Genomic DNA, 27,956 nt, shown 5'->3' on the forward strand with positions numbered 1-27,956 from the left:
AATCTTAGGTAGGAACTATTATTACCCTTTTTACAGGCACGGGAAACTGAGGCATAGATAAGGAACTTGATTATGTCACACAACTAGAAAGTGGAATTTCTGGTTAAAATCCCTGGAGTCTGGTTCCACAGTTTATGCTGTTGGTTACTAGACTTGGCTGCCCTCAGACATCTGAATAGCTAATTGTGCATCTTAGGCATATAAATAGCTAATTTAAAGGAAAGTAAAGGTTAAACTAGTGAGTTAAATGTTACTGTAATTGATTATTGAAGTTGATCTCTTCATTCATGTATTCAGACATTTAGTTTGAACAGACATTAATTAGCCTACGATATATAAGGCAGTATGATAAATGTATACAGTGGTTAAGGGTAGGGATTATCTGTATGTGGATGCAAATTGAATTTCTGCCATTAAGAGGAATTTTTAGTGGTTCAGAACTTTTCTGTATAGGTGTAGTGAGATGCATCATAGTGACATACAAATACATTAAAATATTGTTTTCTTTTTTTTGAGATAGGGTCTTCTTGCTCTTTTGTCCAGGCTGGAGTACAGTGGGGTGATCTTGGCTCACTGCAACCTCCTCCCAGTTTCAAACGATTCTCATGCCTCAGCCTTCTGAGTAGCTGGATTACAGGCATGGGCTACCACAACCGGCTAATTTTTGTATTTTTTAGTAGAGACGGGGTTTCACCATATTGGCCAGGCTGGTCTCAAACTCCTGACCTCAGGTGATCCACCTGCATCACCCTCCCAAAGTGCTGGGATTACAGGTGTGAGCCGCTGCACCTGGCCTAAAATATTGTTTTCATAGTTAAAGAATCACAATTATGGCCGGGCACTGTAGCTCACACCTGTAATCCCAGCACTTTTGGGAGGCTAAGGCAGGCAGATCATGGAGTCAGGAGATCAGGACCATCCTGGCTAACACGGTGAAACCCCGTCTCTACTAAAAATACAAAAAGAAATTAGCTGGGTGTGGTGGCACGCACCTGTAGTCCAGCTGCTCTGGAGGCTGAGGCAGGAGAACGGTGTGAACCCAGGAGGTGGAGCTTGCAGTGAGCTGAGATCGTGCCCCTGCACTCCAGCCTGGGCAACAGAGTGAGACTCTGTCTCAAAACAAAAACAAAAACAAAAAAAGAATCACAATTATTAGAATAGTGCTTGGAAAAATATGAGACTGGAATGATTCCTCACCAATGAGGATTCCTTATCAAGCAGAACAAGATTGTTAGGCTTATCTTATTTATTCAAGTTATTGAAGCTTTAGTAACCATGACACCTTTTCAGCAATAGCTTGAGCTGCTTTGCAAGGGCAGTATGCTTTTTAGCAAAGGTCATAGGAGCAGGTATACTCTGAGCCATCTGATTCATCTCCCTGTTTCAGTTTTCCTGTTACGTCAGGGAGCATTGAGGTCAGGAGTACTTCCACTTAGGCTTAGTGCTAAGGGGTAATAAACTATTTCATCTATATAAAACTACTTTTTCCAGTGTACTTAGAAGATGAGGAAGAGAGATTAGAAAGGTGGAAAGTTGGAGATGGGGTGGTGCTGCATTGCTTGGGAGAAGGGAGCATAAAGGGTCATTATTTTCAGTGTTGTCAGCATTTGTTTTAGAATATATTCTCAACTCCAGTGTGGTGATTCCTCAAGCATCTAGAACTAGAAATACTATTTGACCCAGCAATCCCATTACTGGGTATATACCCAAAGGATTATAAATCATGCTTTTATAAAGACACGTGCACACATATGTTTATTGTGGCACTATTCACAATAGCAAAGACTTGGAACCAACCCAAATGTCCATCAATGATAGACTGGATTAAGAAAGTGTGGCACATATACACCATGGAGTACTTTGCAGCCATAAAAAAGGATGAGTTCATGTCCTTTGCAGGGACATGGATGAAGCAGGAAACCATCATTCTAAGCAAACTATCACAAGGGCAGAAAAACAAACACCGCATGTTCTCACTTGTAGGTAGGAATTGAACAATGGGAACACTTGGACACAGGGCAGGGAACATCACACACCAGGCACAGTCGGGGGGTGGGGGGTCTGGGGGAGGGATAGCATTAGGAGAAATACCTAATGTAAATGACGAGTTGATTGGTGCAGCAAATCAACATGGCACATGTATACCTATGTAACAAACCTGCACGTTGTGCACATGTACCCTAGAACTTAAAAGTATAATAAAAAAACAAAAAAAAAAGAAGGAAAAAAGAATATATTCTCAAGTCATGCTGACTTGTAGACCTAAATGAAAAGATAATCTTAGGGGCTTTTGAAATTAAACTTATTAATAAATTAGATTTTGTCAAATTTACTGTTGGCAGGACATCTTGAAGAAAACTTTGAAAAATGCTTAGTATAATTTGCATCTTTAAGTTCTACATTCACTTCAAAAGTGGTTTTTTTTCTTTCTTTCTTTTTTTTGTTAGGAGCCCTCCCTAAGGCATATCCTGATAATCATCTCAGTCAGGTGGATGTAAATGAATTGTTTTCAAAATTGCTAAAAACAGGAATTCTCAAATTGTCCCAAACTGATTCAGCTACAACACGTAAGTGTGATTTTATACTTAAATTTACACAAAGCTTCATTAAGTTTTTGAGATGTATGATGTAATATAATGATATAAGTTATGATAAAGGTCCTTACAATAATTGAATTCCTAGGTATAGCTTTTATTTTTGATTTTCGGTTTATAATGAAATTCTTTTAGATTTCCTAAGATTGAACTACCTTATAGTGGACATGTGTTTCAGTTAACTAACATACCTAATGTGCAGGCTTTTTACCAGTAATTGTATGTTAGATTAACTTTTGAAAAGGTTTTGAATATTAATGAAATAAATGACTTTTATTATAGATGACTTTTAAGAAATCAGAGTTAACATCACATATCAAAATAAAAAATTGTATTAGGTTCCTTGGCCAGTAAACTTGAGATCAGAAGCACTGAATGGACTAGGTGGATTTCTCTATTTGCTTATAATACTATAGTGTTCCTCTGTAGAGAATACATGGAGAATGGTATTAAGAAATTTGTATGTCTCTTCTTAATTGAAGAAGTAAGTGAAGTAACTGCTCAGCCTCCCCCTGAAGAGGAGGAAGATCAAAATGAAGATCAAGATGTTCCAGATCTTACTAATTTTACAGTTGAAGAATTGAAACAGTATGTAATCTAATTTTCTTTAAGATAAAGAGGCAGTGACTTTAATAACACTGTTATAGTGGACATTGTTACTATTAGTGCTTTCCCTTTCCCTTTATCCCTTTTACTGTTTTAACATTTAGGAAGTCTTTTTTTTTTTTTAATGTGGTAAAATATACATAACATAGTCTTTGGGAAGCCTATTTTTAAATCGTCTTTTAAAATATGTCTGCTGTACAAGTACTTGGGCCAAAGGCCACCCCCAAAAGTCTTACTCTGCTGCCCAGGCTGGAGTTCAGTGGCGTGATCCTGACTCACTGCAACCTCTGCCTCCCAGGTTCAAGTGATTCTCCTGGGATTACAGGTGTGCACCACCATACCCAGCTAATTTTTGTATTTTTAGTAGAGATGGGGTTTCACCACGTTGGCCAGGCTAGTCTCGAACTCCTAACCTCCAGTGATCCACCTGCCTTGGCCTCCCAAAGTGCTGGGATTACAGGTGTGAGCCACCACACCTGGTCCCTCAAAATTTTCATTTTTTAATCTGTGATACAGAAAACTTAGGGAGTTTAAATATTAGGTATTGATAATTCATGTATTCCTGTTTAGTTTCATTTTCTGTGTATCATCATTTTTTCTGTATTGATATTCTTAACATTTTTGAGGTTCAGAAATGAGATTTTCATAGTTCAGCATTTACAATTAAAAAAAAATCGGCTGGGCGCGGTGGCTCACTCCTGTAATCCCAGCACTTTGTAAGGCCGAGGCAGGTGGATCACGAGGTCAGGAGATCGAGACCATCCTGGCTAACAAGACCATCCTGGCTAACATGGTGAAACCCCGTCTCTACTAAAAATACAAAAAATTAGCCGGGCGCAGTGGCGGGTGCCTGTAGTCCCAGCTACTCGGGAGGCTGAGGCAGGAGAATGGTGTGAACCCGGGAGGCGGAGCTTGCAGTGAGCCGAGATAACGCCACTGCACTCCAGCCTGGGCGAAAGAGCGAGACTGTGTCTCAAAAAAAAAAAAAAATCTATTTTTCATTTTATAAGTAATGTTAATTGTGGAAAATTAGAACATACTATAAATAAAATCAAGAAAACGTACAACTCTCACTTTATGGATAACAACTGTTAACATTTGGTGCATATCTTTTCATAATTTTCTATTGTATTATAAAAAACATTTAAAGATTTTTCTAGTGAATAAATTCATTAATCCTGTGAGTACTTTATAAAAAATAAAATAGTGAATGAGTTTTTCACTCTTAAAATCATTTTTTAAATTTGAATTAGATACTATAATGTAAAATCCTTTTTTTTTTCAAAGTAATACTTTCACATAAAGGCTTTTAATAAAAGATGGCATCCCTTTCTCCTTCACCCAACACTGTACCCTAGAGGCAATCATTTTATTTTTTTAACTTTTCAAACTATTTTTTCTGCCATTTACCTCTTTTTCCTTTTTTTTTTGAGACAGAGTCTCACTCTGTCACCCAGGCTAGAGTGCAGTGGCCCTGTCTTGGCTCATTGCAACCTCCGCCTCCCAGGTTCAAGTGATTCTCCTGCCGCAGCCTCCTGAGTAGCTAAGATTATAGGCACCCATCACCACGCCCAGCTAATTTTTGTATTTTTAGTAGAGATGGGGTTTCATCATGTTGTCCAGGCTGTTCTCGAACTCCTGGGCTCAAGTCATCTGCCCGCCTCGGCCTTCCAAAATGCTGGGATTACAGGTTTGAGCCACCTATTTCTTATAATACACATAATTTTCTGTTTCTTGATTTACCACATCTGGACATAATCTCTTAACTTTCTGAAAGTGATTTAGGCTGGGCGCAGTGGCTCATGCCTGTAATCCCAGCACTTTGGGAGGCTGAGGTGGGCAGATCACCTGAGGTCAGGAGTTCAAGACCAGCTTGGCCAACATGGTAACATGTCTCTACTAGAACCTGTCTCTACTAGAAATACTAAAATTAGCTGGGCGTGGTAGTGGGCACTTGTAATCCCAGCTACTCGGGAGGCTGAGGTGGGGAGAATTGCTTGAACCCAGGAGGCGGAGGCTTTAGTGAGCTGAGATCGGGCCACTGCACTGCATCCTGGGTGACAGAGCGCGAGACTCCGTCTCCAAAAAAAACGGGCGGGGGGTGGATTTAGCTAGCTCTTGTAGTGTCCTACTAACTCCCCTCCATGTAGTTATAAGACTGTTTTTTATTATTCAGTATTAATATTGTGACTAGATGTTTATTTTGTTGCTGTAACAAAGTACCAGTGTTCTGTTATTTGCTTTATTCTATTTTTTTTTTTTTTTTTTTGAGATGGAGTCTCACTCTGTGGCCCAGGCTGGAGTGCAGTGGCGTGATCTTGGCTCACTGCATCCTCCGCCTCCCGATTCAAGTGATTCTCCTGCCTCAGCCTCCTAAGTAGCTGGGATTACAGGCATGTGCCACCACACCCAGCTAATTTTTGTATTTTTAGTAGGGACAGGGTTTCACCACGTTGGTCAGGTTGGTCTTGAGCTCCTGACCTCGTGATCTGCCCACCTTGGCCTCCCAAAGTGCTGGGATTACAGGCGTGAGCCGCTGTGCCCGGCTATTTTTTTTTTTTTTCTTGGAGTTAATAACTGCTCTGTTTGTTCACTTACTTGGTCTTCTATATATACCTGTTTCTTCCCAAATAGGGAGCCCAGAATTTAAAAAACTAATTATTTGTTGACCACAGCAAACTAATTATTGTTTCCCAATGGTATTCTAAGTTTTCTCTTTAGTTATCCATACTATTATTATTTCTTCTGTCCTTTTTTCACTGTTACACCAGAGTGGAGAAGTTGAATTATTCAGAATGCCAAAGATCTAGAGAGGTGAAATTTAACTGTTCTGCCATGTCCATCTTGACTTGACTCCAAACTAAAATAAGCTAACTATTGCCTTGTTAGCTAGCACAGGATCATTTCATTTTTAGCTAAAAGGAAATAAATAACTGGGTCAGGGCTATCAATAAGAAGACAGGCTCCATCTTCCAAAAGTCACCAAAGTTAAGGTAAAGAGGGTCAATCACATTGTTAGAGAATAATACTGATCTTTGGGTATTAACTGTTTCAGCCAGCTCTTGGTTTCACCATTGTTACAGTATGGAAAATTGAAATATTTGTAATTGGCTTTTAAAGGCCATTAAGCCATATTATCAACACTAAAGATTATTTCTTTTTCAAAATAGACGTTATGACAGTGTTATAAATCGACTGTACACTGGTATTCAGTGTTACTCTTGTGGAATGAGGTTTACAACATCACAGACAGATGTTTATGCAGATCATTTGGACTGGCATTATCGGCAAAATAGAACTGAAAAGGATGTTAGCCGAAAAGTCACTCATAGACGTTGGTACTACAGTTTAACAGTAAGTAACCCATGTGCCTCCATAGTATCTTTTAGGCTTAAATTATATCATTCTAAAAGTATATTAATTTTAATAATTATTAAAATTTAATTTTAATTAAGTAATTTAATAATTTTAATAACTGCTGGAATCTAACATTGAAATTTCCTGAATAAAATTTGACCCCTAGAATATAAACAGATTTTTTAAAAAATGAATTTTGAAGAGTATTTTTTTTTTTAAATTAAGATTAGAGTATAGCATACAGGCTTGTTCTAGCTCTAAAAGTCCAAGGCTTTGACCCCTGGAATATAAACACATTTTTTAAAAAATGAATTTTGAAGGGAATTTTTTTTTTTTTAATTAAGATTAGAGTGTAGCCTACAGGCTTGTTCTAGCTCTAAAATTCCCAGGCTCTAGGACTGTTTTTTGTAAAAAAAAAAATATACTTGAAGCTTGTCTTTTTTGAATTAGTAGTTGTAACTATAGAGTTAATGGAAAAGATCTTAATTATTAGTTTCATGTTGTCATTAGTTATATGTTTCAAAGTATAATTTTAAATAATATTAGAGCATAATGTAGAAAATAGTATACCCCTACCTTTAAATGGCATTATATTGAAGATACACAGTAAAAATTTAGAAATAAATGGAATAATCTTTTAAAAATCAACTCCTTTTAAGGACTGGATAGAATTTGAGGAGATAGCTGATCTGGAAGAACGGGCAAAGAGCCAGTTTTTTGAAAAGGTGCATGAAGAAGTTGTGCTCAAAACTCAAGAGGCTGCTAAAGAAAAAGAGTTCCAAAGTGTACCTGCTGGACCAGCTGGAGCAGTTGAGGTGAGAGAAGAACGTTTAAGTTTTCTCACAGTGGGAGTGTCCCTCACTTCCTTTATGTAAATACTCATAAACACATCACTATATTTATATCCCTGTTTTAATGATTTTAAGACTTCTTGAAAGCTCTACTCTTCAATTTTACTCTTACAATCTAGCTTTGAGTTTCATAACTACAGTGGCCAAAAGCAGTGAAATGTTTACTCTTTTTACTGGAAAGATTGACAGAATCCCATAAATGTATTTTGAATCATACTGTATATTGGACATTATTCAAACTTTTGGAACACTCATAAATTCTTTACTCCACTTAACAGTGTTTGTATATTTTTACTTAATGGGGTTAAATATGGTCTATTATGTAAATTTCATTTTATATGATTCTATTTTAGAGTTGTGAAATCTGTCAAGAACAATTTGAACAATACTGGGATGAAGAAGAGGAGGAATGGCATTTGAAAAATGCTATTAGAGTAGATGGAAAGGTAATTTTCATTTCTTTATAAGGAAGTGTTAAGATTAGTGTTTTTTTGTTGGGTTAACACATTACTTTGAAAGGAGGCGGTTCATAATAGTTTTTGTTTGATTTTTGGTCTTAATAAAAAGGGTATTGGACTTTAGTAATAGAATGTTTGAATTAGAAGGGATCTTAGCAGTCACCCGGTTCTGTACACTTTACACAGGAGGTTGCACTATTAGTCAGTGACAGACCCAGGACTAGGTCTTCTGAATCTAGTTAGTCGTTTTTCTGTCGACCCACACTATTTTGATTGTGGATTTATATTTCATCATCAAACTATACTGTGCTGAAAACAAAGCAAGTTAGGCTAGATACTTAAATGGGCCAAGAGAAGTCAGTTTTTCAGACTCTTTAAGCATAAGGATGAAAATTTGGTTTTATCCATTTTGGGACCAAATAATTTTTGTCTTCTTTCCAAAGACTATCTTCTGGCTTAAAGTTAAAAAGAAATATCAGAATAGCCCATTAGAAATGAATACGCACATATTTACTTTTTTTCTTTTTGCTTCAGATTTATCATCCATCATGTTATGAAGATTATCAAAATGTAAGTTCTTTTTGGTTACTGTATTTGTTCTCATTTGCATTAATAAATTTTACTTTTCAGTTTTTTTTTTGCATCAGAGCAATATTGTTATTTTAAACTTAATATATTGAACTGTTTTTGTTTTTTGATATAGCATTTAGGTTGTTCAGTAAAAACTGGTGCCAGATTGACAGAATTGACATATATGAATATCATTTTCTGTGATAACGCAAACAATTAAAATTTTGAAATTTATCATTCCTTGCATTTTATTCACTTGAATCATGGTATCTTTTACTAGTCCACTAGGCCCAAAGAAATGTGAGGAAAAGTGAAGATAAGGATCCTGATGGGGATACGTTTCTAGAGCTATGGGTAGCATTTACTGCTATTTTTTTTTCTTACATCTCTATTCAGCCATCTAAATAGGTATATTCTTTTTGTTGTTTTGTTCTGAGACAAAGTTTCGCTCTTGTTGCCCAGGCTGGAGTGCAATGGCGCAATCTCGGCTCACTGCAACCTCCACCTCCTGGGTTCAAGGGATTCTCCTGCCCCTGCTTCCCAAGTAGCTGGGATTACAGGCGTGCACCACCACACCTGGCTAATTTTGTATTTTTAGTAGAGACAGGGTTTCACCACATTGGTCAGGCTGGTCTTGAACTCCTGACCTCAAGTGATCCACCCACCTTGGCCTCCCAAAGTGCTAGGATTATAGGCGTGAGCCACCGTGCTCGGCCAAAATAGGTATACTTTTTAATGATCACATACGGAATCTAAAAATGATACCAGTCGTTGACCTTAAAAGTTCAAATGGTCGGCTGGGCGTGGTGGCTCATGCCTGTAATCCCAGCACTTTTGGGAGGCCGAGGCGAGTGGATCACCTGAGGTCAGGAGTTCGAGAACAGCCTGGCCAACATGGTGAAACCCTGTCTCTACTAAAAATACAAAAATTAGCCAGGCATGGTGGCGGGTGCCTATAGTTCCACCTGATTGTGAGGCTGAGGCAGGAGAATTGTTTGAATCCAGGAGGTGGAGGTTGCAGTGAGCTGAGTTCATGCCACTGCACTGCAACCTGTGCGACAAGAGTGAGCTCTGTCTCAAAAAAAAAAAAAAAAAAAAAAGTTCAAATGGTCATATTTGTAGTCTGTTTTTAAAATCAAGTAATGGAATAAATAGGTTTTTAGAGATAATGGGTTGGAGGCAATTTGGAAGGTTTATTTAGGTTGTCAGAAGACTAGTGTTGAGGGTGATGGTTTGTGGGGATTTAAAAAATCCTCAGACTATTTGAAATTAGGGTAGTAACAAGTCCCAGGATATATGTATGAGTTTAACATCTATGTAGAGATTAAAATGTAGAAGCATGTCTAATCAACTTTTTTTGGCTGTATAATGTCCTATAACTTAGCTGTTAACTGCTTAACTCACTGCTGAGTACATATTGAACGTGCAATATATATTTTATTTCTGGTTGTCTTTATGGCACATTTTGTTGGGAGGCAGGTGTTTCATTTGCATTTGGTTGTATGTGTGTTCTCTTGTTCATACAAGGGTCTTACAAGACTAAATGTTATTTAATGTGAGAATTTTGAACTTTCATCAGTACTCATAGGGCCTTTCATTTTGTAGACATCTTCATTTGATTGTACACCATCTCCCAGCAAGACACCAGTTGAAAACCCCTTGAATATTATGTTGAACATTGTCAAAAACGAATTGCAGGAACCCTGTGACAGTCCCAAAGTTAAGGAAGAACGAATTGATACACCACCAGCTTGTACAGAGGAAAGCATAGCAACACCCTCTGAAATTAAAACAGAAAATGACACAGTCGAGTCAGTTTAAATAAAATGAGAAAGGTATGTTTTTCTTTTTTAAAAAAGCTGCTGTTGGATCTAGAAGGTGAAGAATTTTTTTATGTATATATAGACATATCTATATAAATTGTCTGGCTGAGGCAGGGCCTTCAGCTATCATTTGGTTAATAAATACATTTTAGTATTTGCATTTCCTACTGCCTGCAGAGTTTCAGGTGCTTGTTGTGTGAAAGTTCTGTAGATGTGTGCAAATTTAACGAAATGAAATTGTATGTGTAAAAATGTACGATTTTTCACTGTGCAACTGTAAATTATAAATAAAAAATATTTTTGCTATTCATGGAGTGTAATATTTATGCACACCATCAAATAGTTTCTGTACTTTTTATTGGGTAAAAATGGAATTGAACAGCAACCTCAACATAAGATTTTTTTTCTAGTAGCCTCCCACTGATTAAAGAAGCAAGTTTGAGGTTTCATCCTTCAAAAGGGGGTTCCGAGAGAGCACCGTAGGGCTTTTCTCAAATAGAAAAGCCAGATTTTGAAAAAATTTTAAAGATAAAATAGGACATATTTTGCAGATATATATATATATATACACAAACACATCTCCAGGTATAGAGAACCATCCAGATGTTCACTTTTGAAAATATCTAATGATGCAAAGTTTTATTCTTGAACTTGGACACTGATGCCATCAAACAATTAACAAATATATTTAAGTACTAAAGGTGATTTTTTTTTTAAAGACTTTTTCAAATTGTCAAATGATTTAATGCAGATGAACATATTTCTATTTTAAGTAACGGGAATCTGTAAGAATGTTTGCTTGAGATATGGTTAACTTTTTTCTTTTGTTGGTTTTGACTTAGATGGACACCATGAGATGTTAATATTCATACATGTAATAAATAGAATGATGAAGAAACTTTGTTTGTACTTCTTTATTTCTTGAAAAGCTTTAGAATGTGACTTTCTTGTTGTCTTTCATCTGTTTTTTGAAACATGAACATGGTACTTGCTATGAGCCAGGCACTCTGAGACAGGTTAGTCTTTTCTGCCATTTATTGGAGATAGGCATATAAAACACTGAGTTTTATTGAGCACATAGTATGTGGCAGGCACTAGCACTTTCTACATGTATTTTCTCTGGTATTCACATCTAATAACTACATGGTAGATGGTGTCCCCACTTTACAGATGAAATTAAGCCACTCACTTTAAAATTTTTATAAGAATTTGAACGTGGCTTTGTTTCCTCTAATTCCATACAATTTCTGCAATTTTAAAAGATACCCCCAAATTGATTGTTAGGATAGAAATAAGCACACCAAACTACTGGAAGGTGGCTAAGGAAGATTCTACAAAAGTGGTGACATTTGAGTCTTGGAGGATAACCAGGAGTGGAGTCCATACTGATGGGAAGGGTATCTTTGGAAAATGAACAGCAAATGTAAAGGCTTAAAATACTTTTGTGTTTTCAAAAATTGACTTCTTATGGTTAAAACTCAGTAGTTTTGAATAGATTATGATGAGCCATTAATTTTTTTAGTAGAAATGGAGTCTCACTACGTAGTCCAGGCTGGTTTCGAATTCCTGGGCTCAAGTGATCCTACTGCCTTGGCCTCCCAGAGTGCTGGGATTACAGGCATGAGCCACGTGCCCAGCCTTTATTTTTAAGTAGTGAAGAGCCTTCTTGGTCATGCTAAGGAATTTTTATTAAACTGATGACCAGAGCAGCCACTAGAAATTTTAAACAGGGTGACATCCTATCTGCATTTAAGCTTTTTTATTTTTTTAAGAATCAAGTGAATACAATTTTAGAGATTGCTAAATCCAGAGAGGTCCAGTGGGAAAACTGGTAGCCATTGGATTTGAGTTGTAAACACGTAACAGCTGAACTTACGTATATGAACACTGCCATAGGAACTGAGGTCTGTGAATCCAAAAATGTAGGCAAAACTTCCTGTTGAACATTTTTCTGGGGAAACCACCATAGCTTTTATCAAATGCTTAAAGGTATGGAACATTCTAAAAGGAAGGTGATATTCAAACCTAAAAGTGTATCAACGGTATCCACATGGAGAAGAGGGTCAAGGATGGGGGAACAAAGACTGGTAGGTGGGAAGGTCAAAAAGAAAATGGGAAAACCAGCAATGGGAAAATTTTTTTTTTTCTTTTTTTGAGACAGTCTTGCTATGTTGCTCAGGCTGGATCAGTGCAGTAGCACAATCTCGGCTCAGTGCAGTGGCACAATCTCGGCTCACTGCAACCTCTGCCTCCTGGGTTCAAGTGATTCTCCTGTCTCAGCCTCCCAAGTAGCTGGGATTACAGGTGCCCGCCACCACGCCTGGCTAATTTTTATATTTTGAGTAGAGGCGGGGTTTCACCACGTTGGCCAGGCTGGTCTCGAACTCCTGACCTTAAGTGATCTGCCCGTCTTGGCCTCCCAGAGTGCTGGGATTACAGGTGTGCGCAGGAAGAAAATTTCAATGGACGAGGTAGTCAACAAAATGAAGTCAAGAAAATATGTAAGACTCAGAAATACTCTAACTGTTGACCTAAGAACAGCTGAGTATGGGTGCCAACACCTGGTGCAATGGGTAGTGTGGATGAGAGGTAACAAAATATTAAAAGCTATTTTTTTAAATGAAGTTTAACTCCAGAGATTGAATTGTAGTTAGACAAATAGGAGAGGCATTAGCATGTTAAGAGGAGCTCAGTGGAGAAATGGGTTGAAGATGGAGATGACCGGTATACCAGTCTCAAGGTTGTAACAAGATAGTATCAACAATAGCACAGGAGGGGCGGGGCACAGTGGCTCATGCCTGTAATTCCAGCACTTTGGGAGGATGAAGTGGGTAGATTGCTTGAGTGTAGGAGTTCAAGACCAGCCTGGGCAACATGGTGAAACTCCGTCGCTACCAAATATATGAAAAACCAGAGGGACACTGTCTGCCAAAAAAAATAAAAGCACAGGAAGGATTTAGCTTTGGAATGGAGGTGGGCCAGTGTTCTCCAAGATGGCCACTAGTATTTACAGTTGGGTTTGAGTTCAATTCTTATTTTCTCTTTGAGGTAGAAGGCCAGATGTAAGGCAGTGATCCAGATCTGCCCCATATTTGGCTGTGCATTAGAATTATAGTGAATTTAAAACAAATTTTAATACTAAATTTAGAGATGGGGCCTTACCAGGTTGTCCAGGCTGGCCTCGAACTCCTGGGATCAAGCCAGTCTCCCACCTCAGCCTCCCAAGTAACTAGATTACAGGTGCACACCACTACACCTGGCTTAGAATTAGTGAATATTAAGAGATTCCTAATCTCTGGAGAGTCTCATTTAGTTGATTCGCATTCAGGGGCACTTCTAGTATTCAAGCTCCATAGTTTTTTCTAATGAACAGCCAGATCTGGTAAATAATTCAGAAATCAACATCAACAGCATCCCCAAAGATAGAAAAAGAGTCAATACATAACACTGTTAGCTAGAAGTAGTAATCTAACACTGTAAAGTGCAGTAAGGAAAATTAAATGAAGCCTCAGAGATGATGGAACATTTTCTTTTAAATTGAATTGAAGTTTGAGAGAACAAGTAAAAGGAAAAGTATGTGTTTCCTAAAATCTAAAGATTTCATTAAGTTTATATCCTCCTGGTTTTAGTGTAATTTTCCCACTGAAAATGTCCAACTTTGATGCTTTGGAAAATAGAAAGCAATCTCATTGCAATTCAGCTAAAAATAAAAAGCTTTGGGAAGAAAAATAAGGAATTACATATAAAAAATTAAAACATTCTCATATAACAGCTTAGTATATACATATTTTTTATATGACTGACCTTACAATTTAGTACCAAGTAAGCAACCTAATGGAGGTTTACACAAAATATTCAGGAAAATCTGAGGAGGCATCTAACCATGCTGCAGGTGGAAAAATGTAGCTGCCTAAATGGAGGTAGAAATGGAAAATAAAGACTATTATCAAGAAAGACCTGCACTCTTGTAGAATTGGGAAGTTTTTTCCTAATCCTAAATGGGGTCAGCTCCCAGAGATAATGGGCATTGTGTTGAGCAGGTGGGGAAGAGTAGCTAAATAAGAGCCAAAAGGTACCCAAGGAGTACCCCTGTGAAGATTTGGGAGTGAGCACCAAAAGAAGAACAAGAATGACTGGGAAATAACAGAAAATGGCACATAGGCAGAAAGGAGTACAGACTGTCACCAATATCCACTTCGTTTTTTGTTTTTGCCTGGGGTTGGCCCTGCTCCCTTCTCTGAAACAAGATATAAAAAGCTGATTTATGATATCCTGCTTTATCACCCCACTTTAGAAAAACTGAGGTAGAAGTGGAGGACTAGTCATATTTACTAACTGGAATCATACCTTCCTTCCTACTCACAAAAGGTTCCAGTTCTCTAGAATACTGAGATGACCACTCCAGGATGTATTCTGAACCCTGTTTCACTTAAGAAACTTCTTCCAGGCTGGGCGCGGTGGCTCACGCTTGTAATCCCAGCACTTTGGGAAGACGAGGCGGGCGGATCACAAGGTCAGGAGATCGAGACCACGGTGAAACCCCGTCTCTACTAAAAATAAAAAAATTAGCTGGACGTGGTGGTGGGCGCCCGTAGTCCCAGCTACTCGGAGAGGCTGAGGCAGGAGAATGGAGTGAACCCAGGAGGCAGCTTGCAGTAAGCCAAGATTGCGCCACTGCACTCCAGCCTGGGTGACACAGCGAGACTCTGTCTCAAAAAAAAAAGAAAAAAAAATTTCTTCCATAGTCAGGCACTTACCTTGAAATCCCATGCAGTCTGGATATTGCATCTTAGCTTTTTTATTAAAATTACTCTTATTATCAATGACTTCTTGCTAAAACCAGTGTGCTTTTCTTAGCTTCTTAATCTCTTCTGGACCACACTCACTTTATTGTTTTTGAGACAGAGTCTCGCTGTGTTGCCCAGGCTGGAGTGCAGTGGCGTGATCTCAGCCACTCAGATTTTGGATAAGGATTTCAGATTTTGGATAAGGACTGAAAATCTCAGATTTTGGATAAGGGGTGCTCAACGTGTATAATGTTATACAAAATAATTTCTTTCTGATTTTCACAGTCTCCTTTGTAAGATGTCCCTTTGCCCTTTTTTTTTTTTTTTCCCTGAGACGGACTCTCACTCTGTCGCCAAGCTGGAGTGCAGTGGCGCGATCTCGGCTTACTGCAACCTCCACCTCCTGGGGGTTCAAGCAATTCTCCTGCCCCAGCCTCCCACGTAGCTGGGACTACAGGCGCCTGCCACCACGCCCAGCTAATTTTTGTATTTTTAGTAGAGATGGGGTTTCACCATGCTGGCTGGGATGGTCTCGATCTCTTGACCTCATGATCCGCCTGCCTTGGTCTCCCAAAGTGCTGGGATTACAGGCGTGAGCCACCATGCCCGGCCTGTTTCTTTTTTTTTTTCTGAGACAGTGTCTAGCTCTGTTGACCAGGCTGGAGTGCAGTGGTGCAATCATGGCTCACTGCAACCTCAACCTCCTGGGCTCAAGCCATCCTCCGTCCATGGGCTCCTTTGTTTCCAATACCATTTTTTTTCCTTTTCTTCCTCAGATTTGTTGAGTTTCTATTTATTGTTCTTTTCAAACACCAGCTAATTACTATCATCAATTTTATTTGCTATTTCATTAACTTCTGCTTTTATTTTTATTATTTTTGAGACGATTTTATTGAGAAGACTTTATAATCTTGCTCTGTCACCCAGGCTGGAGTGCAATGGCATGATCTTGGCTCACTGCAACCTCTGCCTCTCGGGTTCAAGTGATTCTTCTGCCTTAGCTTCCCAAGTAACCAGAATTACAGGTGCACGCCACTACACCTGGCTAATTTTTTTATTTCTAGTAGAAACAGGGTTTCATCATGTTGGCGAGGCTGGTCTCAAACTCCTGACCTCAAGTGATTCACCTGCCTCGGCCTCCCAAAGTGCTGGGCATGAGCCACTGCACCCGGAGTCTGCTTTTATTTTTAATTCCTTCTATTTTTATTTTGGGAGATTTTACTTTTTCTGCTTCTCTGTTACCTGTTTCTGTTTCCTCTTCTAATCCTTCCTGTCATGTGTGTATCCTTTAAGGATTTGTCACGTGCTGTCTCATTTCCTCAGTAAATTTATCTACTACATATTGTATAGTGAAAAAAATAAAACCTTTACCATTATTATGTAAGTGGCTATAAACACTATATTAATTTGGAGTCAGTCATAGTGGGTTCCAATTCCTCAACTCCTACTTGTGTGATCTTGGTCAAATCTGAGCTGTTTCTTCATCTGTAAAAATAAAAATAACAATACAGATTAAGTTGGGTATTATTTGCAAATCATTTATCACAGAAACTGGCCCACATGAATAACTCGATAAATGCCTGGTATACAAAAGGCCTCAGCTGCCCCATGTCTTGTTTTGTTTTTTCTTTGAGGTGGAGTTTTGCTCTTGTCGCCCAGGCTGGAGCGCAATTGCGCGATCTCAACTCACTGCAACCTCCGCCTCCCAGGTTCAAGTGATTCTCCTGCCTCAGCCTCCCGAACAGCTGGGATTACAGGCTCCTGCTACCATGCCTGGCTAATTTTTGTATTTTTAGTAGAGATGGGGTTTCGCCATGTTGGCCAGGCTGGTCTCAAATCCCTGACTTCAGGTGATCCGCTCACCTTGGCCTCCCAAAGTGCTAGAATTACAGGCGTGAGCCACCGCGCATGACTCAGTTGCCCCATCTCTAAAAGTGAGGGGATTAGGATGACTAATCCCAAATTCACTTCCAACAGTGAAAAACTTTATCTTCAGCCTATTAGTTCACCTGCCTGACAGTTAACTCATCAACCCACCCACACAACAGTTACTAAGCCCTTCTCTTAAATGAAATATTCTAGACATCAGAAATGCCAAGATTTTAAGATACAGTCCCTACCTTCCAGAAGCTCAGGGTCCTTTAGGGGTGAGGAAAAATTGTTAAACAGATAATTATAATACAATGGGATAAGTGATCTAATAAAAGGTTGTGGGAATTCAGAGACTTTGAGGAGCTCCTGCAGAAAAATTCAAGACCTATTTTGGAATCCTAAGTCAGGTATTTATTATTTACTAGTGAAGGGGGAATTAATGAATTTTATAAGTATATTAGTCAAGAAGTTTATTCTTTTCCTTAGAGGTAGAATGAAATATAGCCCCCCACCCTCCGGAGGCCTGGGTTAAGAGAGAATATTAACCGCTTATTTCTCCTCTACGCACGGAGAGGCTTATCTGTGTTCCACCGTTTCACGTTCCTTGAGGCACCACGAGTTCCTGCTTCCCTCCCTAGCGCGCTGTAAAGTCACAAGGTTGATAAGCAATTGCTACAAAAGCATGCATTCCCAAGGATGTAAGACATGTGGTGTAACAAATGTAAAAGAATAATTAACTGCCTTTGTTCTTGCTTCTGCAAGTAGGCTTCCTGTAGCACCAAACTCCCGCCACAAATTGCTTAAAAGGTGATTGATCCCTTTGTTCCGGGCTCAGACTTTCTGGACCCCAGTCCGACTGAGCCAGTGATCACCTTAATAATAAAGGGTTGTCCTGAATTCTGTTTGGCCTCTCCCGTCTCTATTTGTCCCGCAACACTAGCAGTATATCCTCAGGCAATTAACTTTTTTTTCCCTTGTTTCTCTCTCTGTAAAAAGGAAGAGGAATACTTATTTTGGCAGGTTATAATAAGAATTGAGTCAAACTCATTTATGTTGGCATAAAAAAATGAACAAGAAAATATAAAGCACTTAGTACAATGCCAGGCAGATCATAGGAACTCAGTAGATGGCAATTGTAATATTACAAAAGGTGATGGAAGTCAAAGACAATTTACTGTACCTCAAGAGAGTAGCGGTAGGATCAGAAGAATTTCCCAAATGTGTTCACAGACCAAAACTGGGGGAAAAGCAGGGTAGTTTCCTGGTAAGACGAACAGCACATGACAAGGCAGAGATATTAAAAAGTAAGGTACGCTTCCAGGACGAGTTCATTATTCCTGAAGGGAGAAGGCAATAAGGGTGGAAAAACTGGGCCGAGAGGGGAATCCAGGTTGGTGATGCCCCTGGAGGGCAGGTAATTCTTACTAATTTCTGTATTTTCTGCTGCTGGCACAAAACGTGACCCATACGTTTGCAACAAATGGTGAAATAATTCATTCCTGTTGTTAAGCAATAGGGTTGTAGAAATATTTGAGCAGTAAACATGCTACAGTGAAAGGATTCTCGGATTTGGAGTCAGGAGACCTGAAGCACTCTTTTGACTAATGACCTGTGTTTTTTTACTGGTTTTACAACTTACCTGCTGCCTGGCCTTACCAAAGTACTGATATATTGAGTCTCTTGACCCATAAAACAGGGGTAACAACTAACAAGCGATTATTAAAGAGTTGGCGCTAGTAAAGTACGCAATAAAAACAGCGGCTGCAGCTGCTAAATTCTCCTTTAGGTCTTTTTCCATACTTGCGAAATGACAGGGCAACAAATTTCCTTCCAACCACCACTGAGAAAGTATACCACGTTTGCCCAAGGACAAAAAGGCCCCGCCCGGCCCGCGCCACACAGGTCACCTACGCAGAATGCAGTCCTGGGGGGTTCCACTTGTGTCGCTCAGCGATGGAGGGCGCGATCGATGACAGGCCACTCCAGAGACGGACCTAGATAGGTTCGCATGAGGCCGAGCCGAATTTCACCAAAAACCAGTTTACACCACCTCCCGATTTGTCCACACGAAAAGCCATGGAATAGCTGAGGGAAAGGAAACCGGAAGTAGCGTGGGCCGTGAGGAACGGGAAATGACCTCAGCACGTCGGAAGTGTACTCGTTTCCAAGGCGACGGCCCTGCTGCCTCTCCAGCCAAGTGGCTGGAGTCGGGAGGCTGGAAAGAGACTCCGAGAAAGTACCAGCGGAAGGCGGCCGCCGCTACGGCGATTCGCAGGGAGTAGCAGACGAAGACGGTGGCCGCCGCACTAGCCACCACGTGTGGAGGATAAACGGTCTACACGGCCATTCCGGCGCCGAGTCTAGGGAAAGAGTTAGCGACGACGGGGAAAGAAAATGTGAAGAGAGCGACCGCCGCTCCAGGGTCGCTGCAGGAAGCCTAAGTGCAGACGCCGGCTTCTCCCGCAGTGACTTGAGAAGGGTCAGTGAAAACCTCGGCCACTGCCGCAGCGTCTCTAGGGAGAGAGTTAGGGGAGATAGTGGCCACAGTCACAGCTGCTCTTGGGAGAGAGTTAGGGGAGACAGCACCTTCTGCAGCAGCGACGTGAATTTTAGTGAAGTTGGAGGCCACCAAACTACCGACTCCAGGGGAACAGCCAGAGAAGACCGAGGCCTCCGCCTCAGTGGTCCTTGGGAGGGAGTCAGTGACATTCGGGACCCGCGAACTAGTGACTTCGGGGATAGAGTCAGTGACGATCGCAGTCGCCGCTTCAGTGGCTCCTGGGAGGGAGGGAGTGTCGAAGGCGGCCACAGCGTTGGTAGTTCTTGGGAGGAAGTAAGTGGAGACCGCGGCTACGCAGCCAGCGACTCCTCTGGTGTGAGCGGCAGTGAAGACGCCAGCTACCGCTTCAGTGGCTTTTGGGAGAGAGAAAGTGAAGACGAAGGTTTCCGCTGCAGCTTCTGGGAGAGAGCAAGAGAGGACCTTGGGCCCCGTCCTAGTGACGACGGAGAAGAGGGCCGCTGCCGCTGCAGTGGCTCGTGGGTGAGAGCAAGTGAAGACCGCCGCAGCATCAGGGGCCTGGACTCAACTCCTCCCCAGAGTCGGAGGTGTTGCGCCATGCCCGGGGTGGCCAATTCAGGCCCCTCCACTTCCTCTAGGGAGACTGCAAACCCCTGTGAGTCAGACTGTCATTGGCCTTCATCTCTGTCGTATTCCTTTTCTCACTTAAGCCCGCAACAGCCTTAGCCCTTTCTGGCATTTCCTTTTCTCAGCCGTCACTCCCCCCTTTCCCTTTTTAATTTATTTTCAGGGGATACCAAAGCTGTTCAGCTCTCCCCTGTTCTGTATTATTTCCGCTTTCTTTCCTTTTTTCCATCCACACTATTCCTCCGAGTCTTCTTGCCCAGCTTGACATCAACTCTTGTTCAGTCTTAATGGACGGACCCTTTTAAGTTCTTCCTTGACTTCCCTGCAGCATTTGACCCTGTGGAGGTGACAAATTAGTACTTACTTAGTTTTCTTCTTTCACTCCATTGAGTGACCCTTTCCCTTACCGTTTTCTTTTCTTCTGCCATCTTCTTAAATGCAGCTTTTACCCCTTGATGATGCCATCATTGGTTCTCTTTTTCTTGTCATTTACTGTGACTTCAGTCCTACTGGTGGCCCTCAAATCGGTTACTCATTCAACCATCCAGTAAATATTTACTGCATATGCCTACTTTGTGCTCCGTCTTAAGGAACTTAAGAAGACAGGCACATTCTTTACCTTCTAGTGAGGAAGATAAATGCTGAGCAAATAATGACAAGTGAGATCAGTGTTATAAAGGACGGTAGAATGCCACTGATTCCAGTAGGGGGTGAGTATGGGTGTCAGAAAAAGCATTCTAATACAGAGACACACGTAACACTGAGACCTGAATTCCGTATCTCTCCTCGGAGCTGCAAACATATATATAGATATCTCCCTTCTGGAAATTTTCCTTGGGTACCTCAAGAGCAGCATGTCCAAAATGTAATTTTATATCTATATATCCTCTCTGTCCTTCAGTGTTTGCTGTCTCAACTAATGGCACCACAGCACTCAGATGATAAAGCCACACACCTTGGAGTTATCTTATTACTTTTCCCTTGTTTCACCCACTGTATCCATTCCAGTTTAGTTCATTCTAATTTTATTAATATTTGTTGAATCTTTCTCCTTTTCTTTTCCCAGTGTTCAGAGTCTCATTTTTTCTGGTCTAGACTATTGTAAACTGTATTCTTACATGATCTACCTACTCTCTCTCTCTCTCTTTTTTTTTTTTTTTTGGAGACGGAGTCTTGCTCTGTCCCCCATGCTGGAGTGCAGTGGCGCGGTCCTCAGCTCACTGCAATCTCCGCCTTCCAGGTTCACACCATTCTTCTGCGTCAGCCTCCCGAGTAGCTAGGGCAACAGGGGCCCACCACCACACCCGGCTAATTTTTTGTATTTTTAGTAGAAACGGAGTTTCACTGTGTTAGCCATGATGGTCTCCTCCTGACCTCATGATCTGCCCACCTCGGCCTCCCAAAGTCCTGGGATTACAGGCGTGAGCCACCGCGCCCGGCCAATCAACCTACTCTTTAGTCTTGCCTTTTTGCTCCCCATTCAGTAAATTCTCTTCCCTGAATTTAGCCTTGTAAACTCAGCCTTACAGCTCTCAATCATTATAATTCTTCTGTTTAAAATTCCTCAGTGATTCTCCACTGTCTGCTCAAGTCCAAGTTTTTAAAAATAAGTTTCACCATTGTCTGTTTCTTGTCTAGTTCTAGCCTATTTATCCCCTTAATACTTTAGTAGTAGGATTTGTGTGTGAGTGTGTGAGAGTGTGTGTGTGTGTGTGTGTGTGTGTGTGTGTGGTTTCTTGACCATGTCCTACTGTTCATGCTGTTTAGGCCTACTCACTGCTCCTACTTGCCTTGGCAAACTCCTGTTAATCCTTGAAGATTCTATCTTAGATGTAACTTTCCCCAGGAATCCTTCTGTGTTCCCCTTCCCTCCTACCCTGGCTGAGTTTGAAGTCATCTGTGCTTCCACAGGTTCCTATGAATATTTCCATCGTTGCTTTTACCACATTATTTTGTATTTTGTGTTTGTATCTTCTCTACTAATCTGTGAGTTCCTTGAGGGTGTCTTCATCTTTTTATCCTTATGGTAGACACCAGACTTACGTTGAGTAGATGGATGAGTGGATGAGTGAATAAATCGGGATGGAATGTAGTGAGAAAAAAGACCATAAAATTAGATGGAGCCAAATTATGGGAGGCCATAGAGGTCATACTGAGAGTTTGGGTTTTGTTTTGTAGAGTAGCAGTGACCAACCAGTGGCAGTTTAGAGTAGGGGCATGAAGTGATTAGGATAGTTGGTCTGTGTAAGATGGATTAGAGGAGTGTCTCTGTGTAAAATAAGTAGAGTGGATAGAACATCATTTGTAGGTCTGGCTGTGCTAGTTTAAAGAAGAATGAAGGTCCGGCCTAGGGATTAACATCACTGAACGTTTATTAAAGGTGTGTGTGTGTGTATGTGTACATGTGCACACCTTACAGATGCTCTCGTTCCCATTTGCCATATATCTTAATTGTTCTTCAAGGTCTTGCTTGAATGTTTCCTCCTCCTCTGTGACTTGTTTTGTTTCTCCTTAATTTTACCTGTACTCTCTGAGGACATTGCTGTCAGGTTTTTGTTTTCATTATGTATTTATCCAAATAGATTTTAATGTGTTGGCGGAAAAAAAATGTATTAAATCCATGTCCATTTTCTATCATGTTATCATAGTGCCTGACTCATGGTAGATGTTCAGAAAGGCTTTTTGAGTACAGTTATAGCAGTTTGCTAAGAGCAAAGATATAATTAGAGTATATAAAAAGATGTAATAAAAGTAAGATATAATTCCAGTGTAAAATATTATTTTTGCCCTTAAGAAATTAACATTCTGATTGTGGAGAGAGGACATGTACATAGATAAATAGTAGTACAAGGTTGCACAGATCATTTGCCAGATGTGTTGGTGAGCTGTTTTCAAAACAACTTCAGGTCAGGAATCATGCCTGTTTTATTTAGAGAATGCTGAAGTTGAACTGCTTACTCCTTCATTCTTCTCTAATAGTTATCTGTTCGTGCTTAGATACCTTTATTGCCTCTGGTTCACAATGCTTATTAATTAAATTATAAAATATGAAGCACTAAGAGTATGTGAATTAAAAATCGTGGCCTGCCATTCCTTTCTTAGTGTAAGACATAAATTAGAAATATAAGAAAGATGTTGATAAAATATATTTGCATGTATGAGATGAGGCTCTGGTGAAGTCTTTTTCACTAGGGAGGCCTTTGTTATGGAGAACAACACATGGGGCATATTTCAAAATGGTTACTTTCCCCTTCTCACTGCCAAAAACATGAGTTCCTGGCTTTTCACAATGGTAACCTGGTGAGGTTTCTGAAGGTAAAATCTATGAAAGTGTAGTGGCTCCCTAGGTAAGAGTGTGGCCCTTAGAAGTTTCTCATTCTTTGGCTAGTATGTACTCAACCTCTGGCAAGTCATCAACATTACCATGTAAGTGCTTCTACCACTTTATGGCTCCAGGACTGTATTTTTCTGTATTTGTCTCTCCAGATTTGGGGTGGCAGTTTGCCCTGAGACCTCAGTTCTCTGATGGGTCCAAGAAAAGTTGTTCATTTTCTGTTCATTCATTTTTCCCTATAAGGATGGGAGTGTCAACTTCCATGCTTTTTACATGTCAGTGTTGGAACCAGAAGTCTGTTTAAGATATTAATGACAAACATCTTTGTAGTAAATTATTTGGAAAGCCAAAGTAATTTTGTGCTTTCTGTTATATCACTGTTTTAGTCTTTTTTTTTCTTTCATAGTTTTGTAGTACATTGTAAGTAATTTGATTTTTCAATAGGTTCCAGGAAGAAGGTGCATTTTGGCAGCATACATGATGCAGTACGAGCTGGAGATGTAAAGCAGCTTTCAGAAATAGTGGTACGTGGAGCCAGCATTAATGAACTTGATGTTCTCCATAAGTTTACCCCTTTACATTGGGCAGCACATTCTGGAAGTTTGGAGGTAAGAAACTATACATATCACTAAACTGAGGTAAGTTTTAGCTATAACAGTTTTGTAAATTTAGCAAACAGGGCTGAGACCTTATGGTAGGTACTGCATATATTTTCTTTTCAGTCATAGTCAGTTTAATATTTGGGTATTCCACTTTGCTAGGGCTTTATAACAAATTATCCTAAAATTTAGCATAATAAACTAATGATTTATTTATACTCATGAACAAACCCAAGAATTTGGATCCCGGAGACAGCTTGTCTCTGCTCCATGATATCTGGGGCTTCAGCTGGAATATTAAAAAGCTGGGGCTAGATTCTTCTGAAGGCTTATTCACTCAAGATGTCTCTGGTGGTTGATGCTGGTTATGGATTAGGCACCTTAAACTTCATCCCTGTGGGCCTATTTGTGAGGTTTCTACATGTGAGCTAGTTTCTACTTCCTCACAATATGGTGACTGGGTTCCAAAGGTGAGCATAGAGGATTACTTGGAGTGGATAATAAAATGAATATGTATTCTAACATTTTTGCTTTAGTAGTGTCAGATTTTTAGAAAAGGAATGGAATGTTGCAGGTACATTTGAAGTCCCTAAGTACCCCTCTCAGGTGCCATTCCTCTGCTTCCAACTCCAGAGATAACTATTACCCTGATTTTGGTGTTTATTATTCCTATCTATGTTTTATGCTGTTATTACATATGATTATATCATTATTTTGAATGACATACATTATATAAATGATATCACATTATGTATATTATTCTTTAGCTTTTTTTTGTTCAACAATATGTTTTTGAGTTTTATCCATATGGTTACATATATGTACTCTAGTTCATTTCTTTCAGCCATGTCGTTTATTCTATTCTTAGACTGGTATCAGAATTTATCTGTTTTTGTATTGTTGGATATTTATTTGGTTTCAATTTTTAGCTAGTACTAACTGCTTAGTGAGTATTTTAATGCAAATCTGATCCTTGGGCTCTGTCCAAGGCTAACTAGCACTTTTCTCATGATTCAAGGTTATGTGTATGGGGGGCTTATTTTAGCTACATTTCCCCAGCCTATAAGCTACAATAGGTCTGTTGACAATGCATTGTCTTTTTACCCCTACCACACACACATGACTTCCTTCTGTGAGTATGGCAGTCCTGTGTGATATCTTCTTTATTTGTACTTCTTTGCTTCTTGTAACCAAATCTGGTTCAGAGACTCTCCCTCTACCAGTTTGTGTGCCTCACTTAAATGTTATTATAAACAAAGGATTTTTACTTGTGCCTTTCTTTGGAGCCTGATGGTTCTTTGTGAGCTGGTATCCGTGGGTAGGTGGTTCTCTCTGCTGTTTCCTCCCACATTCCTATTTGTTCTGCACTTTGGCAGGTTTTTTAATCTGTTTGTAGTTTGAGTTACAGATGTCTCCTAGTTTCATCTAGTTGGAGTTTTCTGGGTTTTTTTGCTCTTTGCTTTTGGGTGATTTTGGAGAGAAGGGGGAAGTACTGATTTTACTCTGCCATATTCTAATAGACATCAGGATATACCATTTATTTCATCTCTTTTCTGGTGCCCTTTCAGCTTCTCTTACTACTCTCACTCAGTCTACTTTGGTTAACTCACTCCTCCTATTGTGTAATTGTAGTATTGTTTACATTTCTTTCCTACTTTACAGTTTCTCCAGTCAGTCTTTTAAACTTCTTTGGCTTTATCGCTTCTACATAATTCATTTATTTGCTCTCTCTCCTGACTTTTGGATTATGTATTAAGTGCTTGATCATAGCTCATGCATATCTGACTGGCATCTCAAATTCAACTAGTCTAACACTAAAACTGTTATATTTTTCCCTCCATTTTGTAGTTTTCTAGGGCAATAGCCTTTGAATCATCATTGAGTTGTTTCAGTATTTCATATAATCAAAACACATTATCAGCATTTGTCTAGATGAAGGTGCAGTTCGTGTTACACATTGATGCAGTGAGAACTAGTCACTAGGTCAGTTGATTCTGCTCCATCTTTGTCTCCTGAATTTGTCCTCTCCATCCCCATAACCATGTTCTTAGATTTAATTAATTTTATTTTTTTGTGTGTGTGGTCCACCTGTAGTCCATATACTATATACAAAGCTATTTTCTCTGTAAAACTAAAATCTAATATTACTTGAGACCTTCCTTAAAACCCTGTAGTAACTCTCTGCCCTCCATAGGATAAAGTTCAAGCCATTTAACATGGTAGACTTATTTCTCTAACCTCATCTCCCATCATAATTGTTTTATGCTATAGTACTGGTGACTACCATCATTTCCCAAATTAGTCTACTGTTCCATATTATCATAGGCTTTGCACATGCTGTTTCTTTTCTTTTCTTTTTTTTTAATACTTTAAGTTCTAGGATACATGGGCAGAACCTGCAGTTTTGTTACATAGGTATACATATGCCATGGTGGTTTGCTGCACCCAACAACCAGTCTTCTAGGTTTTAAGCCCTGCATGCATTAGGTATTTGTCCTAATGCTCCGCCTCCCCTAACCCTCCACCCCCCGACAGGCCCCAGTGTGTGATGTTCCCCTCGCTGTGTCCATGTGTTCTTATTGTTCAACTTCCACTTATGAGTGAGAACATGTGGTGTTTGGTTTTCTGTTCCTGTGTTAGTTTGCTAAGAATGGTGGTTTCCAGCTTCATCCATGGCCCCGCAAAGGACGTGAACTCATTCTTTTTTTATGGCTGCATGGTATTCCATGGTGTATATGTGCCACATTTTCTTTAGCCTATCATTGATGGGCATTTGGGTTGGTTCCAAGTCTTTGCTATTGTGAATAGCGCTGCAGTAAACATACATGTGCATGTCTTTATAGTAGAATGATTTATAATCCTTTGGGCATATACCCAGTAATATATGACCAGGATTGCTGGGTCAAATGGTATTTCTGGTTCTAGATCCTTGAGGAATTGCTACACTGTCTTCCACAATGGTTAAACTAATTTACATTCCCACCAACAGTGTAAAAGAGTTCCTATTTCTCCACATCCTCTCCAGCATCTGTTGTTCCCTGACTTTTTAATGATTGTCATTCTAACTGGTGTGAGATGGTATCTCATTGTAGTTTTGACTTGCGTTTCTCTAATGACCAGTGATGAGCTTTTTTTCATATGTTTGTTGGCTGCATAAATGTCTTCTTTTGAGAAGTATCTGTTCATATCCTTTGCCCACTTTTTGATGGGGTTGTTTTTTTCTTATAAATTTAAGTTTCTTGTAGATTCTAGATGTTAGCCCTTTGTCAGATGGATAGATTGCACAAATTTTTTCCCATTCTGTAGGTTGCCTGTTCACTCTGATGATAGTTTCTTTTGTTGTGCAGAAGCTCTTTAGTTTAATTAAATCCTATTTGTCAATGTTGGCTTTTGTTGCAATTGCTTTTGGTGTTTTAGTCATGAAGTCTTTGCCCATGGCTATGTCCAGAATGGTATTGCCTAGTTTTTCTTCTAGGGCTTTTATGGGTTTAGGTGTTACTTTTAAGTCTTTAATCCATCTTGAATTAATTTTTATATAAGGCTTAAGAAAGGGATCCAGTTTCAGTTTTCTGCATATGGCTAGCCAATTTTCCCAGCACCATTTATTAAACAGGAAATCCTTCCCCTGTTGCAAAAGTCAGATTTGTTGAAGATCAGGTGGTTGTAGATGTGTGGTGTTATTTCTGAGCACTCTTGTTCTGTTCCATTGGTCTATTTATCTGTTTTGGCACCAGTACCATGCTGTTTTGGTTACTGTAGCCTTGTAGTATAGTTTGAAGTCAGGTAGCATGATGCCTCCAGCTTTGTTCTTTTTGCTTAGGATTGCCTTAGCTCTACGGGCTCTTTTTTGGTTCCATATGAAATTTAAAGTAGTTCTTTCTAATTCTGTGAAGAAAGTCAATGGTAGCTTGATGGGAATAGCATTGAATCTATAAATTACTTTGGGCAGTATGCACATGC

The 27,956-nt window shown here is 39.7% G+C and overlaps 2 protein-coding genes and 2 long non-coding RNA genes across 18 annotated transcripts in view, besides 4 other annotated features; 2 read left to right on the forward strand and 2 right to left on the reverse strand.

Moving 5' to 3' along the window:
* Window positions 1-12,814, forward strand: part of PCF11 (PCF11 cleavage and polyadenylation factor subunit) — a 30,321-nt gene extending 17,507 nt beyond the window's left edge. For 2 of the 5 annotated variants that reach the window (NM_001346414.2, NM_001346415.2), the window contains exons 10-16: window positions 2,448-2,567; window positions 3,080-3,182; window positions 6,371-6,554; window positions 7,217-7,372; window positions 7,762-7,854; window positions 8,401-8,436; window positions 10,042-12,814. In NM_001346414.2, coding sequence (NP_001333343.1) covers window positions 2,448-2,567; window positions 3,080-3,182; window positions 6,371-6,554; window positions 7,217-7,372; window positions 7,762-7,854; window positions 8,401-8,436; window positions 10,042-10,257 — 908 coding nt within the window. In that variant the 3' untranslated portion in view covers window positions 10,258-12,814. Of the gene's footprint in view, window positions 1-2,447; window positions 2,568-3,023; window positions 3,183-6,370; window positions 6,555-7,216; window positions 7,373-7,761; window positions 7,855-8,400; window positions 8,437-10,041 lie in introns of those variants that run through there. The other 3 variants (NM_015885.4, NM_001346413.3, XM_047427120.1) reach the window with 3 other exon arrangements.
* On the reverse strand, window positions 9,854-19,032 carry ANKRD42-DT (ANKRD42 divergent transcript). Of its 4 annotated transcripts, none has more exons than NR_149011.1 (4): window positions 18,830-19,032; window positions 18,099-18,155; window positions 17,791-17,904; window positions 16,283-16,531 (listed from the first exon to the last, which is right to left on the reverse strand). It is a non-coding gene; the product is annotated as an ANKRD42 divergent transcript (long non-coding RNA). The 4 variants fall into 4 exon arrangements; NR_149010.1 differs by having other exon boundaries at window positions 18,099-18,179; NR_149009.1 differs by lacking the exons at window positions 17,791-17,904; window positions 18,099-18,155 and adding an exon at window positions 9,854-10,216 and having other exon boundaries at window positions 16,418-16,531.
* On the reverse strand, window positions 10,884-12,847 carry PCF11-AS1 (PCF11 antisense RNA 1). The gene has a single exon (NR_133914.1). It is a non-coding gene; the product is annotated as a PCF11 antisense RNA 1 (long non-coding RNA).
* Window positions 18,782-19,001: an enhancer, noted in NCBI's record as "active region_5349". NCBI's record gives its function as "activates an Ori minimal core promoter by ATAC-STARR-seq in GM12878 lymphoblastoid cells {active_cell/tissue: GM12878}" and the evidence as "EXISTENCE:reporter gene assay evidence [ECO:0000049][PMID:35858748]".
* Window positions 19,062-19,171: an enhancer, noted in NCBI's record as "active region_5350". NCBI's record gives its function as "activates an Ori minimal core promoter by ATAC-STARR-seq in GM12878 lymphoblastoid cells {active_cell/tissue: GM12878}" and the evidence as "EXISTENCE:reporter gene assay evidence [ECO:0000049][PMID:35858748]".
* Window positions 19,075-27,956, forward strand: part of ANKRD42 (ankyrin repeat domain 42) — a 70,571-nt gene continuing 61,689 nt past the window's right edge. For 6 of the 8 annotated variants that reach the window (NM_001433541.1, NM_001300972.2, NM_001300973.2 and 3 more), the window contains exons 1-2: window positions 19,075-20,091; window positions 23,842-24,005. In NM_001433541.1, the coding sequence (NP_001420470.1) occupies window positions 20,034-20,091; window positions 23,842-24,005 (222 nt within the window). In that variant the 5' untranslated portion in view covers window positions 19,075-20,033. The remainder of the gene's footprint in view (window positions 20,092-23,841; window positions 24,006-27,956) is intronic. The other 2 variants (NR_125355.2, NM_182603.4) reach the window with 2 other exon arrangements.
* Window positions 19,306-19,484: a silencer, noted in NCBI's record as "fragment chr11:82904985-82905163 (GRCh37/hg19 assembly coordinates)". NCBI's record gives its function as "represses an EF-1alpha promoter that drives an FKBP-Casp9 reporter gene in an ReSE screen in K562 erythroleukemia cells {active_cell/tissue: K562}" and the evidence as "EXISTENCE:reporter gene assay evidence [ECO:0000049][PMID:32094911]".
* Window positions 19,692-20,051: an enhancer, noted in NCBI's record as "active region_5351". NCBI's record gives its function as "activates an Ori minimal core promoter by ATAC-STARR-seq in GM12878 lymphoblastoid cells {active_cell/tissue: GM12878}" and the evidence as "EXISTENCE:reporter gene assay evidence [ECO:0000049][PMID:35858748]".

This window comes from Homo sapiens, chromosome 11 (genome assembly GCF_000001405.40).
Source record: "Homo sapiens chromosome 11, GRCh38.p14 Primary Assembly".
Lineage (NCBI taxonomy): Eukaryota > Metazoa > Chordata > Mammalia > Primates > Hominidae > Homo > Homo sapiens.